Raw genomic sequence first — 19,885 nt, forward strand, 5'->3', positions numbered from 1 at the left:
AAAAAAGAGAAAGGGATAGGCATTTGTGTCAGACAATTACATGTTAGTAGCACTAGTGATTCTAGGTTACGCAATTAGATACAGGTCTATGTCCCTTAAAATAAAAATTGATATACAGTCCATACTTTTTACTAAGGTCTTTTAGCACCAGAAGTACAGCAGTGTTCAAAGGGCTGGGACACAAATGTGGGGCACATTCATGCAATATCCACTGCGACTTACAGATTCTGAGGAAAAAGCTCTTAATGTTTACCGTAAAACAAACATGGTTATAGACTAGAATGCAGAATGCTTATGAATTTAAAAAATAAGCAAGATACTACTTTTTATGCTTGTGGCATGCTGTTTCAGATTGCTCCTAGATATTTTGGTATGCAATGCATTCTTCTCTGCTACGTTGGTGAAGAAGTCTTAGAAGACTGATATGTGTCTTGAATTGAGAAAAAAGAGAACACTACTTCCCTCACAATAGGCAGTCAGTAACACTGATGACAAGCTAGGGCATTGTTGGGCTGTGTGCTCATGGATTCTTTTTGTGTTAAGATAAATTAGCACACATTAAAATAAAACCCATATTTAAAAGCAATGCAGAAAGTTATATAAAGTAGAAATTTAAAGATTCAAACTAATAAGAATGCCATATAGTTATGAAAGCTAACTAGCGTTCAGCTGTATACTGATTTGAAATATTTGATAATTTAAAAAGTACTTGGAAACAAGCACAATATGTGTCATTCAACCCATGATATATATTATTATTAGAATCAATTAAATGTGCTCCCCAGAGAAACACAGATGTTATTGTCACTCAACTATATGGAGCTCTTCCTAGGAAAGAAGGGGGATAAAACTCCCCCTTCAGTCAGTGCTTCAGGGAAGTCCAGCTGTTCAAAATATTGGCTTCACAAACATTTAATTGTGAGATTTTCAGCCTTCCTTTACATTTATTAATTTATACATAAATATATGTGTAAGTTTATTTATTTACGACTTCTTAGGCAGGTTTGAGTAATCATACACCAAGATTTTCTAAAGGAAAAAAAACACTTTGAGATATTCATGAAGCCAGATGTGGGCTTTGTCAACACACCTGTCACACAGAAAAAAACATCTAATGTCAACCCCATACCTACCTGAGGCGAATGGAAACTTGTGTTCGTTGTTTTATAATTTGGATGTTGGCAGAGAAGGTAACATGAAACCAAGGAAGACATATCTAAATGTGTTCAAATTATAAAAAGTACTATGGTTTTACATGTAATTTTCCTTCTAAGAAGGATCTTTGTTTTTTTTGAAAAAGTGACGTTAAGGGTGGAATCTATTTTACACTTGCATAGCAAGTGCTGACATAAGTGGTGATAGCTTTTCCTTTGTCCAGTTTTTCCCAGGCTGTGTAAAAAGTCAGTGCTAAGTAACTAGGAAGTTGTCCAGAAGGACTCTGACAATTCCTGCTACCTCTAGTTGGTACCAATAAAGTACTGTCACAGGACTTTGAAGTCAGAAGATCCTGTATTCAAGTCCTGGTTTGGCTCAGGCCAAATGTGTGACTTTCAGCAAGTTCCTTTTCCCAAGGTATATTAGCCCCATCTTCCTAACCTGTAAACTAAGGTTAATAATAGTACCTACCTTATAGATTTATTTTGAAGGAAAAGAAAGAGCTATTACAGATAAAATTCTTAGGACAGTTTCTAATATGTAATAAGTAATCAACTGTTAGCTGCCATTATTATTGCTATTACTGATCCTTAAAATTTAGGGTTAGTATTTAGCCTTGAAGTGTAAGTAATAGAATAAACAGACCTATCTTCATCATCCTTCCTTCTAGGCATACATTGTAGGGCAGTTGGCCCATTATGCAACAAGACTGTTGGTTGTACCTCTTATTGGTACTCATGAAAGATATATATGTGAACATGAAGAATTTTTTAAGTCTATGGAGATGAAATCTATTTGTGGTTTGGAAAAAGGCAGTGGATAGTTATTTGCACTTTCATGACAATTTCATATTTAACAAAACCCCATAAGATTAATGATTGTGTATCTCCCCCATAACCTTAGTACTTTTTGACAATGTTAATACTTCTCCATAACCTTACTGCTTTTTGGTAGCAAACTGAATACATTCATCATCAATTTAGTATTTCTTGATATCAAACTGAAAGATGATAGTGAGAGAGTAATACAGTTGCATATAGAGCTCAAGTAAATATTCTAAAAATAACAAAAGACTGGCCTTTCATCACAACGTGCACTCTTAGTAAAATAATTCAATGAGTCAATAATAGTTAAACTGGCGTATGACTTGTTTTTCAACACTGGGACAGTATGTAACAGTGAACCAGCAATTGCACAGATGGAGTCGTGATCCTGCAAACTGAGAAATGATTTTACAGGAATGGAAATAGGGGCCACTAATTACTAAAGAAACCTCTCTTCATGGCCACAATATATTGTGGCTTTTTTATATGTGTGTGCTTTGTCAAGGCAACACTTCCTTTTCTCTTTTTTTCTTTCGTCTTCTCACTTGCTTCCAAAAAGCCTAATCATTTCCTAATTTTTCTTTTCTAAATGCACTTTTTTCTCCATTCATTTTGCTCCCAACTACTGCTTGGTAACCCAAGTCACATACATAGGTTTACTGAGCAACTAAGGAAGCTTAGTTGCAAGTGCTAGTAGGAAAATCAGTCAGAAAGTTTGACATATGTGAGTGGATACATGCCATACATGGGTGGTTTTTGTGCTAAGATTTGCTTTTCTTAGAAATGGGATAGCTATTAATTAGTAGACGAAATGGATGTTAAATTTCCCACTGTACTTTGATGATTACATAGCAGAGTGTGTAAGAAAAACGATAATTTAGTTCAAAAGCCAAAAGTGAAAACTGAAAAATATCCAATTGAAGAATAATACACAATATCTAATTTCATCACCAACACCCCAATTTAGAAATGTTAATGTGATAAAGTGTAAATACTATGTGCTTTAGAGTAAACAAAACTGAGTTTGAATTTCAGTGTTACCCAGAACTAGGCTAATTACTTAATCTCTTTGTTTGATAAACTCTGAACTGGGTTAGTGATTGTGCCTATTCTTAGAGGTTACTATAAAGGTTAAATGAGATAGTATATGCAAAATAGTTTGGCACCTAATGGACACTGAGTAAAAATTTGTTCTTTTTCATATTTCTCACTATCCTACAAAAGATGCCCCAGTGAGTTTAATCTTATAATAGTTGTATTCTTTAAAGATTTCAAACATTTAATTTTCCCATAAATTTTCCTAGGGAAAGATACTAACAAGGCTTCTACTGCAAGTCTGCCTTCTCCCCCAAAATTAACAACCAGTGTGCTGTTATAGATAAATATGAAACATTGAAGCTGTATTTACAAAAAAAAGTTAAAGCTTCATTGCATTGTAGTTAGAGTATTTAATACTATTGCATTGAATCTCGAGGCTACAAAAGTGTTGTATATTATACATAGTCATTAAGAAAAAGGCTTTAAAGTCTAGGGGCGAGGTGTTCAATTCTTCTAAGAGGAATCTCTTTAATTTATTCAAAAGCATAAATACTAGAATTTTGGAAATAGGGAAAAGAACATGGGCATCCCCCCAACTTTCACTTGTTTTCTCTTCTGTCCTCTGTCCTTTTTTACTTCTCATTCATTCATCAACAAAAATTTTCTGAGGGCCTGTTTCACTGCTTTTTAAGAATTGTGCAGAAAATTTTTGCAATCTGTCCATCTGACAGAAGGCTAATATCCAGAATCTACAAAAAATTTAAACAAATTTACAAGAAAAAAACAAACAATCCCATCAAAAAGTAGGCAAAGGATATGAACAGACACTTCTTGAAAGAAATTTATGCTGCCAACAAACATGAAAAAAAGTTCATTATTGCTGGTCATTGGGGAAATGCAAATCAAAACCACAATGAGATACCATTTCAGGCCAGTTAGAATGGAGATCATTAAAAAGTCAGGAAATAGATGCTGGAGAGGATGTGGAGAAATAGGAATGTTTTCACACTGTTGGTGGGAGTGTAAATTAGTTCAACCATTGTGGAAGACAGTGTGGTGATTCCTCAAGGATCTAAAACTAGAAATACCATTTGACCCAGCAATCCCGTGACTGGGTATATACCCAAAGGATTATAAATCGTTCTGTAAGGACACATGCATAAGTGTCTTTATTGCAGCAATATTCACAATAGCAAAGACTTGGAACCAACCCAAATGCCCATCAATGATAGACTGGGTAAATAAAATGTGGCACATATGTACCATGGAATACTATGCAGCCATAAAAAATGATGAGTTCATGTCCTTTGCAGGGACATGGATGAAGCTGGAAACCATCATTCTCAGCAAACTAACATAGGAACAGAAAACCAAATACCACACGTTCTCTCTCATAAGTGGGAATTTAACAATGAGAACATATGGGCACAGGGAGGGGAACATCACACACCGGGGTCTGTTAGGGGGTTGGGGGCAAGGGGAGGGAGAGCATTAGGAGAAATACCTAATGATGGGTTGATGGGTACAGCAAACCACCATGGCACATGTATACCTGTGTAAAAAACCTGCACATTCTGCACATGTATCCCAGAATTTAAAGTATAATGATAATAAAAAGAATTGTGCTACTTGCAGTGAAGTAGAATACACACATATACAAACACATATTATAAAATGTATTGTTTTTTAAAATAGTGTTAATTGCTTTTTGAATGAACAAAAGTGAGAGTTTCATTTAATCCAAACTTTGGAAATAAATTTCTAATCTAATACCTCTGTTCATTTGCCTAATGTGTAAATCTTGCAGTGACTATATACTCAAGGCACATTAATATTTTGAAAAGGGTCAAAGAAAATTTTCTGACCAGGTGTCAGTTTTACATCCTGAGGGAAAAGAAACTTTGCTAAAAATAATGAACTATAAAAGTAAGAAAAATAGCCTCAAAGGGATAGACACTATATTGTTAACAAAAGGGATATATTTTATTGATTTATTGTTGACTGTTCCAGGAGAACATGCTTAACAATATATGTGTAAGTAAGGTGAGTAAATTCTTTCTCAGGAACCAAGTGCATCCCTGTCTATATTATCTTCAAGTAATAGTTGGCTTTTTTCCTGGTATAAAACTGTAAGACCAAGCCTGGTCTGGAAGTAACCATGGCTTCCAGTTCCATACCTTTAAGTCATTCACAGCATAAGGAGGCTTCTAGATGCTCTAAAATAGTTGTCACTGGAGTTTCAACATCATTTCTTTCTACATAATTTTTCTAATATATTAATAAGCGCTGTGCAACAATATGTTATAGCCATTCAAAAGAACTGCTGGATTGCATCCCCTGTGTTCCCATATTATAGTCAATATGTGTTTTTTAATTAGAAAGCCCATTAAAAGAAAATAAGAAAATAAAAGATCATCCTAACTTACCTCCCATGAACTATATCATAATATATGCAATTTTATTTTTATTGTGTGCCATTCCCTCTTTATGAGGTAGGTTTAAATCATAAACTAATGGTAAAACAAGGAAGTATAAGTTCTTCTGCTGTAGCATCCCTCAGGCTTGCATTTGTGAGACTCCTTTACCGGCACAGTTGACATTTTATCATTTATGGTAATAGTGTTTTGGAAGAGACCCATCATTTTAGTTTGCTTTTACTGTCTTAACCTATGTTTTAGCAGTTTCTGCATAATGCTTGCCGGAATCAGAAAATGGGATTGTCATCAGACCTGGAAAATTCTCTAGTTTTGGGTTGTGTAAAAGCAGATTTGTAAAAGTTTCCCCATGGTAATGTCTATAACACATCTCCAAGATGTAATGATGGGTGGGTATGAAAGAGAAGTTTTTGTGAAATTGGGGACAAAATATGCCCATCTTTTTTTTTTTTTTTTTTTGAGGTGGGGTCTTACTCTTTCACCCAAACTGGAATGCAGTGGCATGATCATAGCTCAGTGCAACTTCAAACTACTGGGCTCAAGTGATCCTCCCACCTCAGCCTCCTGAGTAGCTAGGACTACAGGCACATGCTACCATGCCCAGCTTAAATATATTCATCTCAATATCTCCACAGTAGCTCAGCTCTTTAACTTCCAGCACACCATCGTAGATGAACTTGTGAAGAGTGCCTGTAGATTAAAGAGTATACAACTTGAACTTGCCTAGTTGTGGTGAAAATCTCAATCATTAAGTCTTGCTGAAAATACTTGGGAAAACTAAAAGGATAATAAGAAAAAAAAAAAAGAAAAACTTACTACTGATTTTGTCTGTTTTAATACTTAAGGCTGAGATAGTAGCAAATAATTTCCCTAGAAGCTACTTCTCTCAGTTTTCCTTTGTCTTCCCTCAAAAGCCATTTTTACCCTTTGTTGCCTTTATTGACCTAGAAATTAAAAGCATACATATTTAACTTAATCAAAAGGTACTAGTGTGCTCAAGTTATCCAGAACCCTTAAATAAATCTGACATGACCATGTGGCAGAGCTTATTTAATTTTATCCTTTATCTATTTTCTAGTTACTTAATTGCCTTAAGATGTTTCTTAAATGTAATGGAATAAAACTTTAAAGTTTCATTATCATGGAAAATAGTCTTAAAGTTTTTCTTGTTCACATCGGGTTAATCAGTGCCACATAGCTGTAACCCTAAGAAGCCATGTTGAGGGCACAGGTTCAGATTAGGCTAATATTTATTAAGCACCATCCAAATGCCAGACATTTTACTAGGGGATTTTAATCAACTATATCTTGATAACATTGTATATTTAACCATCACATAAATCTTGAGAGATAGCTGACATTCATCCCAGGGACAAGGTCTGCTTTCTCCAGGTCACAGAGCTAGGAGTAATCTTAGCTGCCATTTATTTAGATCTATCCTGTGTTTACAATTTTGCCTACACTGTGTTATTTTATCTGCACAGTAACCTTATGAGGTAGATGGTTTCAAATCCAGTTTTACAAATGAGGAACATGTGGTCAAGAGGTGTGAAGTAACTCCTCAAGATTATGTGGTGTGGGAGCCTAAGGGCACTATGCTCAGAAGGTGCTGGGTCCAGAATTCAAGCCCAGTTTTTCTAGTACCCCCTTCTCCACATTGTATTAGGTGATACATAAAAGCAGACAGATATGACCTTAGTGACCAGTTGTTGCTTACACTTGACCTCACAGTCTCACGTGAGTTTGTAGCTGTTCCTGATGGTACAGTTCCTGCTAATATGTAAAGCAGAGGAGCCATGGGGTAGTTCCTGGGGCCAGGTCACTAGAAGATAAAGGGGAAGAACCTTTAACAGTGCAACAGATACTCCCCTATGCAAGAGGTGTGCCAACACTGACACATGGATGTCACCTCCTTTTTTCTCTCACAGCTCCCACAACTGCAGCCATACTTGATCCACTTGTTCTTTCTCTAAATCTCTCATTAAACATGAAGAAGTCAGCTTAAATGCCTAGTGTTCCATTATTGGAATGCTAAGCTTGTGGGAGTTATTTATATCCTACTGCTCAAGGTCATCGCCAAGGTCTGATTTTTCACACACAAAAAATTTTTGGAATAAATAGGCTAAGAAGGAAAAGTCACAGATACATTTGTAAATGTCAATTACTTACAATATTCATTCCCTCATTCCAGAAAATCAGCTAAAATCTGATACATGGGAAGGAGGAAAGAGATATGAAAATCCAAGTATGGAAAACGATCAACCTGTGGAAGCTCTCTGAAAGCCAGTATGAAACAGAGATTGTCCCAGTGGTAATTGGCTACATCTAAGTTAGCCAGATTCCTAGGGCAAAGGGTTTCTTTGCCTCATGAGCCAGGATGCTGAGTAAATGGGAGAGACAGTGTAGAGTGTTTTGGCTTTTCCATTTGACTTTTCCAGAATCCTAATTAAGGAGATTGCAGATTCCATATAAATGGATCATTCTGCAATTGGTTGCCAAAATATTTGCACCTGGATCCAAATGGTAACCAACGGTTCTTGTAGACCAAGCTTCCAATTGGGATTGATCATTTTCTTTTCTGTGAGCCTAAAGAAATTTACTTTTAATCTTGTTTATGGACTCTAACATACCCTGCCAATATGCAATTATGAAACTGCTTTTTAAATGTATTTATTTTCAAGTCTTTCTTCTGAAGCAGATACTTATTAAAATAAGTATGGAAAGTGTTATATACTTTTTACTGTCCTTTTGATGCTGGTCTTTTGGGATTTTGAGAGCCAATGTGCTTTAATAGCTTGTCTTAGGGGAAAAAAATTGAAATTCTAAAAGGAATTTAAATGAGCAGAATTGATGCTTATCCAAAACTTGAGAGCAGCTACTAAAAGTTCAGATTGCAATCCTATTTTAGTACACCCCTGGCCTTTATTATCCATCATTCATTTCATGAAGAAAGAGCCTTGAATATCTTTCCTCCTCAGTCTTTACTCCTTGTTTTTATGCAGAAAAGTGTGTTGCAAAAAGACCTTCAAACTCTCGTGACAGGAAGCTGATAAAATTGCATTAAAGAATCTAGCTCAAGAAGGGAAGCTTCTCAACACTATCCAAATAGTATCTGTAATTTCATATATGTTGCCTTTCCTCAAAAGCTCAGACAGATCAGACATTTCAGATCACAGTTGAGAGTCACATCATCTAACATTGGCAAGTACTATCTCATCTTGAATTCTGTGGCCACATAAGTCATCTGATTTTGATGGTTAGAAATGCTGTGTAAGACAAGAAAGAATGCTGAACAAGGTCTTGCTACCAACTCTGCTTCTGATAAACTATAACCCTGGGCAAGTAACTGGCATAGCAAGCTTCAGAGTCCCATCCAATATGAAATGGGTATAAAAGTATACCCATTATATGCTCTAGGATGTTTTAAAATGAAGAAATACAGTGTAAGAAAATGTTCTTTCAGCTTTTTAGAACAACATAGTAATATAAACCTAGATTTTGTTAATAATTATTTACTAACATCTTCTTCCTTTTGAGAATGGATTCATTCGGCTTTATTGTTTAGACCAAATGTCCTTTAGCCTGTTTTTGTTTTTGTAACTTTCATTTAAGTTCGGGATACATGTGCAGGTTTGTTACATAGCTATATGTGTGCCATGGGGGGTTGTTTTAAAGATTATTTCATCACCCAAGTATTAAGCCAAGTACCCATTAGTTGTTTTTCCTGATCCTCTTCCTCCTCCCACTCTCCACCCTCTAATAGGCCCCAGAGTGTGTTGTTCTCCTTTATGTGTCCATGTGTTCTCATCATTTAGCTCTCATTCATAAGTGAGAACATGCAATATTTGGTTTTCTGTTCCTGCATTCGTTTGCTAAGGATAATGGCCTCCAGTTCCATCCATATCCCTGCAAAGGGCATGATCTCGTTCCTTTTATGGCTGCATAGTATTCCATGGTGTATATGTACCACCTCTTCTTTATCCAGCCTATCATTGATGGGCAGTTAAGTTGATTCTATGTTTTTGCTGTTGTGGATAGTGCTACAGTGAACATAGGTGTACATGTGTCTTTGAAATAGAACAATTTGTATTCCATTGGGTATATACCCAGTAATGGGATGGCTGAGTCAAATGTTATTTGTGTCTCTAGGTCTTTGAGGAATCACCACACTGTTTTCCACAATGGTTGAACTAATTTACACTCCCACCAACAGTGTATAAGTGTTCCTTTTTCTCTACAACCTCACCAGCATCTGTTATTTTTTGACATTTTAGTAATAGCCATTCTGACTGGTGTGAATAGTATCTCACTGTGGTTTTGATTTGCATTTCTCTAATGATCATTGATGTTGAGCTTTTTTTTTCATATGATTATTGGCTGCATGTATGTCTTCTTTTGCAAAGTGTCTGTTCATGTCCTTAGCCCACTTTTTAATAGGGCTGGTTTTTTTTCTTGTAAATTTGCTTAAGTTCCTTATAGATACTGGATATTAGGCCTTTGTCAGATGCATAGTTTGCAAAAATTTCCTTCCATACAGTAGGTTGTTTGTTTACTCTGTTGATAGTTTATTTTGCTGTGCAGAAGCGCTTTAGTTTAATTAAATTCCATTTGTCAATTTTTGCTTTTGTTGCAATTGCTTTTGGCATCTTTGTCATGAAATCTTTTCCCATGGCTGTGTCCTGAATGGTATTGCCTACGTTGTCTTCTAGGGTTTTTATAGTCTTGGGTTTTGCATTTAAGTATTTAATCCATCTTGAGTTAATTTTTTTATGTTGCATAAGGAAGAGGTCCAGTTTCAATTTTCTGCTTATGATCAGCCAGTTATCCCAGTACTACTTATTGAATAGGGAATCCTATTGCTTCTTTTTGTCAGGTTTGTTGAAGATCAGATAGTTGTAGATGTGCAGTCTTATTTCTGGATTCTCTATTCTGATCCATAGGTCTATGTGTCAGTTTTTGTACCAGTACCATTCTGTTTTTGTTACTAGAGCCAGGTAGTATAGTTTGAAGTTGGGTAACATGATGCCTTCAGCCTTGTTCTTTTTGGCTATTTGGGCTCTTTTTTGTTTCATATAAATTTTAAAATAGTTTTTTCTACTTCCACATTGAGAAGAATCTCAGTGGTGGTTCAATAGGAATAACAGTGAATATATGAATTACTTTGGGCATTATGGCCATTTTAACAATATTGATTCGTCTTATCCATGAGTGTAGAATGTTTTTCTATTGTTTGTGTCATTTCTGTTTTCTTTAGCAGTGGTTTGTGGTTCTCCTTGTAGAGATCTTTCACCTTCCTGGTTAGCTGTATTCCCTAGGCATTTATTCTTTTTGTGGCAATTGTGAATGGGAGTTTGTTCCTGATTGTTGTTAATATTTAGGAATGCTAGTGATTTTTGCACATTGGTTTTGTATCCTGGGACTTTGCTGAAGTTATTTTTCAGCTTAAGAAGCTTTTGGGCTGAGACTGTGGGGTTTTCTAGATGCAGGATCATGTTGTCTGCAAACAGGGATAGTTTGACTTCCTCTCTTCCTATTTGGATGCCCTTTATTTCTTTCTCTTGCCTGATTGCCCTGGCCATTACTTCCAATACTATGTTGAATAGGAGTGGTGAGAGAGGGCATCCTTGTCTTGCACAAGTTTTCAATGCTTCCAAGTTTTGCCCATTCAATATGATGTTGGCTGTGGGTTTGTCATATATGTCTCTTATTATTTTGAAGTATGTTCCTTCAACACCTAGTTTGTTGAGAGTTTTTTTTAACATGAATGGATGTTGAATTTTATCCAAAGACTTTCCTGCATCTATTGAGATAATCTGGTATTTTTTTCTTTAGTTCTGCTTATGTGATGAATCACATTTATTGATTTGCATATGTTGAACCAACCTTGCATACCAGGGATAAAGCCTACTTGATCGTGGTGGATTAGCTTTCTGATGTGCTTCAGCCTATTTTAATTCCCTCTGTGATCTGTAATGAAACAGAATAAGAACACAGATAATAATGCACATGTACTTGCTTTACTGCTGAAATAGAGAAACTCTGGCAACAGCTAGCTTTAGTTTAACAGTTTTACAATCTAAAGTCTTGAAAGACCAGAGTGAATTCCAAAATTGACCAAAAGTAGGGCTCAAGCTAAATATTTTATCTCTTTTAGTTGTTTTTCTTGTTTTTTTTCTTCCCCAATTTATCTGCTCTCATTCATTTTTAGTCATGAAATGCCCTCTTTTCTAACTTCCTTTATTGACAGTAAACAAATATTTTTGAGTTCCTGTTAAGAGCTACACTGGGTAGATTTTAGGGAAAAACAGTGAATGAGATAAGCTTCTTCTGTCCCTCCCTTATGGATCTCATACTCTAATGTCAGCTATCAAAACCTGTGTGTTTCTTCTTAAAGGTTTATATAGGCAGGACTTGAAGCATGGCAAACTAAAAAGGCAAGCTAGTGGCTCAGAGGGACTGGAGTAGGGATCAAACAGTAGCTAGCAATTCAGATGTTAAATAAACTATGGGACCCTAAACAAACAAACAAATAATTAAAAACCCTGATGTGTTGTTTTATAATATTTCTATAAATTAGGAATATGCTCTAATAGTTTATTTTATAATACATAAAGCTTTGCAAAATAGGAAAAAGGCTTATCTGATAAAGAAAAATATTTTATAGAATACTTTTTAAATACTGTTTTTTAATTTTCAGACACATAAAATTTTAAAAAAGGAATGAAACATTTCCAAGAGGAACGTTGGTTTAATAAATTAGGTTCTTCTTCAAGTGCCATCTTCAACCTATAAATGACGCCACATTATATGAAAATAATTTTTAAAATTAGATTAAATGTTCATCTCCATTATATTTTTATTATTTAATACTGTCTCTTGTTTTCACACATTTTGCAAAGATAACCTTTCTCATACACTGTTGAAATTTCCAAAAGCTACAAATTATTTAAGTCTTAATTAGTAAAGCTTCAATATGGGAAATTTTCCTGTACATTCTGAAGCCAGTGGTCAACTTAATCAATTATGAACAGCCCTTGTTCCACTAGCAAAATATATTGAGTACCTTGTAGTATCAGGGAAGTTTTATTTCTTTTTTTTTTGAAACCTGAAACAAATTTTAATACCGTCTCTTTAAATATTCACCATCATTTCTTATCAGATTAGAGCACAGCAGATGTGTCCAAATCTTTGTTTTATCTAGGTGAAAGGTGAACACATTTATAATAAATAAAAATTCATTGTGCCCTTATGTTGTTATTAAAGACATTTTTACTGTATAACCCTGCTTTTAAAAATACCTAATTATGCATTTAAGGTCTTTTTCTATTTTAGTTTTATAGTATAAAATAATTATCTTTTGCTTACAGCTAATATCTCAATATCTAATGACACCACACTGGCCCCAGAGTATTTGCCAACTATGTCTTCTACTGACATGGTAAGTGACTTACTATTTTAAATTACCTTCATACTGACTGCATATTGTATACTTGTTTATAATACTTATAATATATGATGTCTTCTACCACTCAGCAATTCTGGCATGAACACATACGTAACAATTATTGACAGTGGAGGGACGGGAAAAAAAAAAGCCACTTTCCTTTGCTCTAGTCAGCACTTTTTTTTTATTTGCCTTAAAAAAAGCTGAAGCCAATATTTACTTCTATAACATGCTTTTTAAAACTTCTTAGAATTTAACTGCCACATTGCATTAATTGTAACCTCGAAATATTTTCACAAGGGAAAATGTGAGAAGTTGGAAAATGAGAGCACAGTATCCTCTCTCTGTTTCTCGTATGGTTAAGAATTCTTACCAACCAAATGGTGCTGTGTTCTCTTCACTAAGAGTGATTGTAGCAGGACCTTTCCCCTGTCACTTAGAACGGACTGTGCCTCTGTCACATGATATCCTTTCCCATGGCTGGTAACCAAGGATCTTTAGGAGACTGGAACTAAGCTTTAAAAATGAGCTGTTTTGCATGGAAGGTCACACACTGGAAGGAGGCTTTTGTATTGGAGAAAAAGGGGAAAGTGCTGTTTCAGACTTCCAATTGTGCTCCTTCTATGCTGAACATGGAATCTTACCAAAGAATATCAATCTTTCAGTTATAAAGACAGAAGCCATAATACCTTGTGTTGATAGAGTGCCCATCTCTCAGGAGACCCGGACATTTCTACAGATATTATGTAGTGAGTGCCCTAACATCCCTTTCAAAGATGATGTTTTGTATCTTTCCTGGGCAACTCTCACGTGACCCTCTTTTTTGTTTTTATATTCTGTGGCTCTCTTGACTGCTTTTTTTGCTGTTAAAGTCTTCTCTGACTTTTCTCAAACTTACTTCTCTATTTCTTCCATGTTTGATGTTAGGTGTGTGAAAAAGTATGTGTATATGTTTTACCACATGCATACAGAAAGGAGTTCAACTTTCAGTCTTTCAACTGGTCAGCCTATTGCCTAAAAGGTCTTGCCTAAATACAGGCAAAACTGCCTCCTTCTAGATTTGAAAGAATTTTATTCAAAATTCTTATAGTAAAAATATAATTAATAAACTATAATTTAATAATATATATTTTAATTAAAATATAGCTAATATAGTTAATAAAAACATAAGTTAATTTGTAATAAATATTAGTGAAACACTCACTTCCACTGACTTAAGAAAAGAAATTGTTATCTAACTTAATTCTTTTTGTAACTAATCAAGGGAATCATTAAAATTAATGAACTTTTAAGCCCTGTCGTTGGGAAGTCCTGGCAGAAACTCCAGCAATTGATATGTATTAAAACAAAATGTTACAATAAGGTTCTTGAAAAAAAATGGAAGTTCTGATTGACTTCTAGTGTGACTGTGATAGAGACATAGAGGCATAATGTCATTTCAACTTAGCTACTATTTATAGAACACCTACTAGAGACCACATGTGTTACACATATTCTCATCATTGTAGACCTTAATATGTACTATAACCATCAACATAAACTACCAGGGTTAATTACTTCTATTTTATACATGAGAGAAACTGAAGCTCCAGAGGGTAAATCACCTTTCTTGCTTTAGGTCACATAGCCATATATTAGTAGAACAAAGATTTGAAGTGAAGTCTGGGTGGTTCTTAGACTGGTGCCATTCCTCGTATACCATGATGCTTCAATGTACACAAATGGCAATGTTTACCCTTCCAGTTCCTATAGATGCCCCATATTCCAGGGCAGCAATCCCTTCATATGCATCAATTGCATACCTTAATTAAAATGTGAAGGTGCTATGTTCAGCACCTCTAGGGAAAGAAGTTAGAAGAAAAAATGTGTGTGTGTGTGTGTGTGTGTGTGTGTGTGTGTGTGTGGTCATGAAGGCCAACTTTTATTTTATCCTTCATTTCTCCTTTTTCATTTATATCATTACCCGTATTTATATGTTGTGTATACACACACATACAATATAGGTAAATGACTCAGAAATGAGTTTTAAATATGATTTATTACCATCAATCATAATGATCAATTATTGAGGCACCTACTAGGTGCCAGACTCTTCACAGTAATTGTCTATAATTCTCACAATCACTTTATGAGTTATTAGATGTTACCCCTATTTTATAGATGAAACAGAGACTTAGAAAAGTTAACTGACCTCCCAAAGACCATACATATTACAAGTACATGGTAAAATGAGGATTTGAACTCAGGGTTTTCTGCCTCTAGAATCTGCCTTATTTCTGTCCTTTCAGGAAGCAGCATAGTGTTTTATGTAGAGGAACTCACAGATATTGAGTTCTTGTGTCAGACTGCCTGGTTCAAGTGCAGGGCTCCATGACTTAATAAGCTGTGGAACCTTCTTAGTTTCCCATCTGCAACATCGGGATGGTAATAGTACTTATCTCAAAGGTACTGTGAGTGTCAACTTAATAGATAGGCAGAACTTGGCATAATGGATGGCATGTAGTCATCTCTCAGTCAGTGTTAGGTATTGTTACTGTTCTTTCTAGGTATTATCATTTGATTAGGTCATGCAGCCTCCATAACTCAGAAGTTTAATGGAGAGAGGAAATTGGGAAGCCCATCTTCTGAGAGGCTATTGCGTCCTCCGTCTGCTTGGTTATGCTAGCCGGCTCTCCTATCCTGAACCTTTCCTAGGACACACAGTCATCAGGACTTAATTTTCCTTTTTTCATTTCAGCCATAATTAGATTGTGAGAGAAGGTACAGGAAAAGTGACATGCATCCCCTGGAGCCAGCAAGGCTTGCTCTCACAGGCCTTCAGTACATCCTGTCAGATGAAGGAAGGTCTTTTCCCTTCAGCTTCACTAGCATGAAGACAAGCTTTCTTTTTCATGGTGGTAGGGATATGTTTCAGGGAAAAGAGCAGGAGAGAGGGGTATTAGAGCATTTAAACAGAGATTAGAACTCTAGGATAACTATGTCTCAAGATAAAAAGGCAGGTTTTAAAATTTCCATTTATTGTTGGAATGGTGTCTTTATTTCTTCTCACTTTCTCCAATTTTTCTATAGATTTCTTGCTTGGTATATCCCTTTAACTTGCAAACCAAATTCCTTAAAAGGTTCCTGTAAACCTTTAAAATTAGCCACAGCTTGTTCACACTGTATCTAGATAATGAGCATTAATACCTGTTGGCTTGCAGTTTCCAGCTCTCAGAGTGTGAGACACCAGATTTCAAAATCAAATGTCAGTTTCTTCTGAAGAAGTGATTGAAAGGATCAGTTAGTATTTTGTTTTTCCACATCAGATTCCTTTTTTTTAAATTGAGGCATACCTTAAAATACACAGTTCTGAAGTATTCATTGAAATGAGTTTTGATGGTTGTAACTACTATCCAAACAAGATACAGGACATTTCCATCATACCAGAAGGTCCCATGGAATGCTGTATTTTGTTTGATACCCTAGCTTTCTTTTTGGGGGATCTTTCTTTGCCCAAATACTCTGCCCCTAGCCTTCAGATGGCAGATACCTGAGCCCTTTCCAAAGTGGTTGAATGCCTCAGAGAAGTTTCTCTCAGCTCTGCTTCTCTGCCTCCCATCTTAAGAAAGTGGCTTCCTTACACTTAAGAGAGGCTCCATGTATCTAAGGGGGAACTCTTTTAGCTTTCCTGTCCAACCCCCAGTCTTTCGTGTATTACCCATGCACTTGGCAAAGACCGTGAGAAAATTTGGTGAGTGGATGCAGACTTGATCTATGCCTAGGACTCCTCTGAATTCTGCTCTGTCACCCCAGTCTGCATGTAGCCATTAAAAATTCGTTAAATAGAAAAATTAGTTGGGCATGATGGCACACACCTGTAGGGTTATAGTGAGCTACAATCATGCCACTGCACTCCAGACTGAGCAATAGAGTGAGACTATGTATTAATATCTTAAAAATAAGTAAATAATAAAATAAAAAATGTTTGACTTTTTTCCTCATCTTAATGGTGAGTTTTTTAAAACTATGATTTTTATAGGGTATCTAGCTTGCTTTGGTTGTTAGGATGGGAGTGATGGCCTCTCACAATTTTCTATAATCCCAATCACAAGCAGAACAACCAGTTTATCTTGATGTCTTATAATGGTATAGACAACTGTAACTCAAATGCATGCTGTAGATGATAAGGTAAGATTTCAGATTACTGCAAATCTGGCTCACCACTGTGGGGGAAAAAACTCTAAATAAGTACATCAACAACTTAACCTTGAGGCTTTTATTAGTGGTATCACTCTCATTTATATTTTTAAAAGCACATATTTTATCAGTCAGTACTCAAAAGGGCTACAGCACGTCCTCAGATTACACCACTTCATTGTAACGTTGATGAAAAAAAGAGAAATTGACTCTCAGGCTACTGCCTATGTGGAGTTTGCATGTTCTTCTCATGTCTGCATGGGTTTTCACTAGGCACTCTGGTTTCCTTCCACATCCCAAACACATGCATATTAGGTTCATTGGCGTGTCTTAATTTCCCAGTTAGACTGAGTGTGGGTGTGTGTGTGAGTGCACCCTGTGATGAGATAGTGTCCTGTCTAGGGATAGTTCCTGACTTGCACCCTGAGCTGCCGGGATAGGCTCTGACCACTCACAACCCTGACCTGGAATGATAATAATTATCTTACTTATTTTTACTAATCTTTCTTAAATGTATGTATAGCTCACATTTATTTTAACATTTAATATTAGAAATGTTTTGATCTTTATTTAGAAGTTTGGTGATGTTTTTGTGACCAGGAATATGCCATAGGGACTTAACTCTTGCTTATAGTGATTAGCCTATGGTAAAACTGGTGGTTATACATTCATTTTGCTTAAAGTTCCAGTTTCCATGAACCTATTGATGACACTGAGGATCTACTGTAATACAGAACCTTTAATTATTATTTTTATTATTATTATTACTTATTATACTACCCAGAGATGCTGTTAATCATGGGACTAAGAACCTTCATGATGATTCTAGGAATTAACATTCATTTCATGGGAAATGGAATGTCGTATTAATATTCTTGTGCAAAGCATCCTTGTGATTTTCTCTCACCGAGAAAGTCAAGTGTAAAAACCATTCTGTCCTTAAATCTCCTTGAAGATTACATATTCCTACTTTTAAAAGTATTACGTAAAATTTTAAATATGCACTAAAATAGAATAAAGCAGTGAAGCCCCATATACGCATCACCTAGCCTCAATGGCTTTGAACATTTTGTCCATCCTGTCTCATATTATCCCTCACTTTTTCCTTTAGGGAGGATACTGTGGTCTTTTAAATTTTAAAATAAATCCTTTGGTATGCATACTACTTTTCAGAACTGCGAGCAGATCCACTCAGTATAACAGGGTAATTCTCTTGAAAAAGATATCTCAAAAAATAGATTGAAATCTCTTTTCATGAGATTTACCACAGTTAAGATCCTCAGCAACTTGATCATTTTCTTTAAATCTTTTCCCCCAGTACCCATTTACCTAAACAATCTGCTTCAGCCCATCTGGTCTATCCGCTGTTAGATCCCCACACAGGTGAGCATTCAGTAAGTCTTTAAAACTGAATGAAGCATTGTATGTTCCCATATCAGCATCTTTGCTCTTGATGTCTCTCTCTCTAATACTTTACTTCTTTTTTGCTGCCAGTGCAGAAAGAAATGCACATCTAAAGTTTGTCGCTTTTATTCCCTTTTGTTACAGTTTTGCTGTCCTTCTGCTCTTACTCCTGCTGCCCTTTGAATACGAGAGTTCTGCAAAAACCAGTCCCTCTTTTAGGGCTTAGTTTAAATTTTGTTTTCTCTGTACTCAATGAAGATGATTATTCCCTCTTCTGACCATCTGATCTTCATACCACTCATTTAGATACTTCCTTTTACTGGGTTATATTATTAGTTAATATTTAAGTTAACATACTTTATTTCTCTAGGGAAAGTTTTAAAAGTTGTTGTTTTATTTATCTTTATTGTACCTGTAAAGGTTACATTCGTTCATTCATGCACTTAGGTCTCAGTGCATTTTCTATTTTCCTGTGGCCACATTTTTCTATTTTCTAGATGTGACTGTTAACTCAAAATATTCTATATCTAATTGAAATAGTTTTGCCAGATTTAGCAAACAAAAATAAAACATGCCCAGTTAAAGATGAATTTTAAATAAATATTGAATAATTTTAGTATAAATATGTCCTAAATGTTACATATGAAACACTTATACTGAAAATACTATTTGTTGTTTACCTGAAATTCAAATGTAACTGGGCATCCTACATTTTACCCAGCAACTCTAAATTGAAAGTTTATTTTAATTTAATCTTGTCCTCCAGATAAAAAGAGTAGATAAATTGGTAGATATCTTCCTTGAATATGTCATATATTCCAGACATGATGACAGATTTCGTTTGTTCAATCAACAATGATTTCTTCAGTGCCTAATGTATCCCAAATTGAATTCTGCTACTGTCTTGCTCTGCTCTTTTCTTTTTTTTTCCTTATTGATGCACAGTCCCTTTGGTCCTCAGGCACCATACATTTATCATTTTTAGCTTTTATCCATCCTTAGTCAAAACAGTTACTAAGTCCTGGGACGTCTCTCTCTCTGTCTTTCTCTCTCTCTCTTTCTCCGTCCCTCTCTCTTCCTCCCTCCCTCTCTCTCTCTCCTTTCTCCATTCTTGCATTTCCCATCAATCTCTTTTCCTTTTCATCCCCCTAACCAGATTATTTCTCATCCACTATAAACACCTCAAAAGTTTTTGCCAACCCCAAAGAACTTGCCTTAACCTTGCAATTTGCATATTCTAACCTATTCTTTTGTTATAGTATTTCTTGAAAAAATAGTCTGTAATTGCTGTTGCAATTTTTTCACTCCCACGCATTTCTCAGCTCATTGTACTTTTTTTACCCATCACTCTGATGACTTTTTCATAGTGTTTTGTGGTATCTTCACTTCCATTGTGGATACCCTAGATG

General features: G+C 35.5%; 1 protein-coding gene across 13 annotated transcripts in view; it reads left to right on the forward strand.

The window, feature by feature from the left end:
• SLC4A4 (solute carrier family 4 member 4) overlaps positions 1-19,885 on the forward strand; it is a 509,424-nt gene that overhangs the window by 411,469 nt on the left and 78,070 nt on the right. For all 13 annotated transcript variants that reach the window (XM_024454268.2, NM_001440628.1, NM_001134742.2 and 10 more), the window contains one exon: positions 12,820-12,890. In XM_024454268.2, the coding sequence (XP_024310036.1) occupies positions 12,820-12,890 (71 nt within the window). The remainder of the gene's footprint in view (positions 1-12,819; positions 12,891-19,885) is intronic.

The sequence above is a fragment of the Homo sapiens genome, chromosome 4 (assembly GCF_000001405.40).
Source record: "Homo sapiens chromosome 4, GRCh38.p14 Primary Assembly".
Classification (NCBI taxonomy): domain Eukaryota; kingdom Metazoa; phylum Chordata; class Mammalia; order Primates; family Hominidae; genus Homo; species Homo sapiens.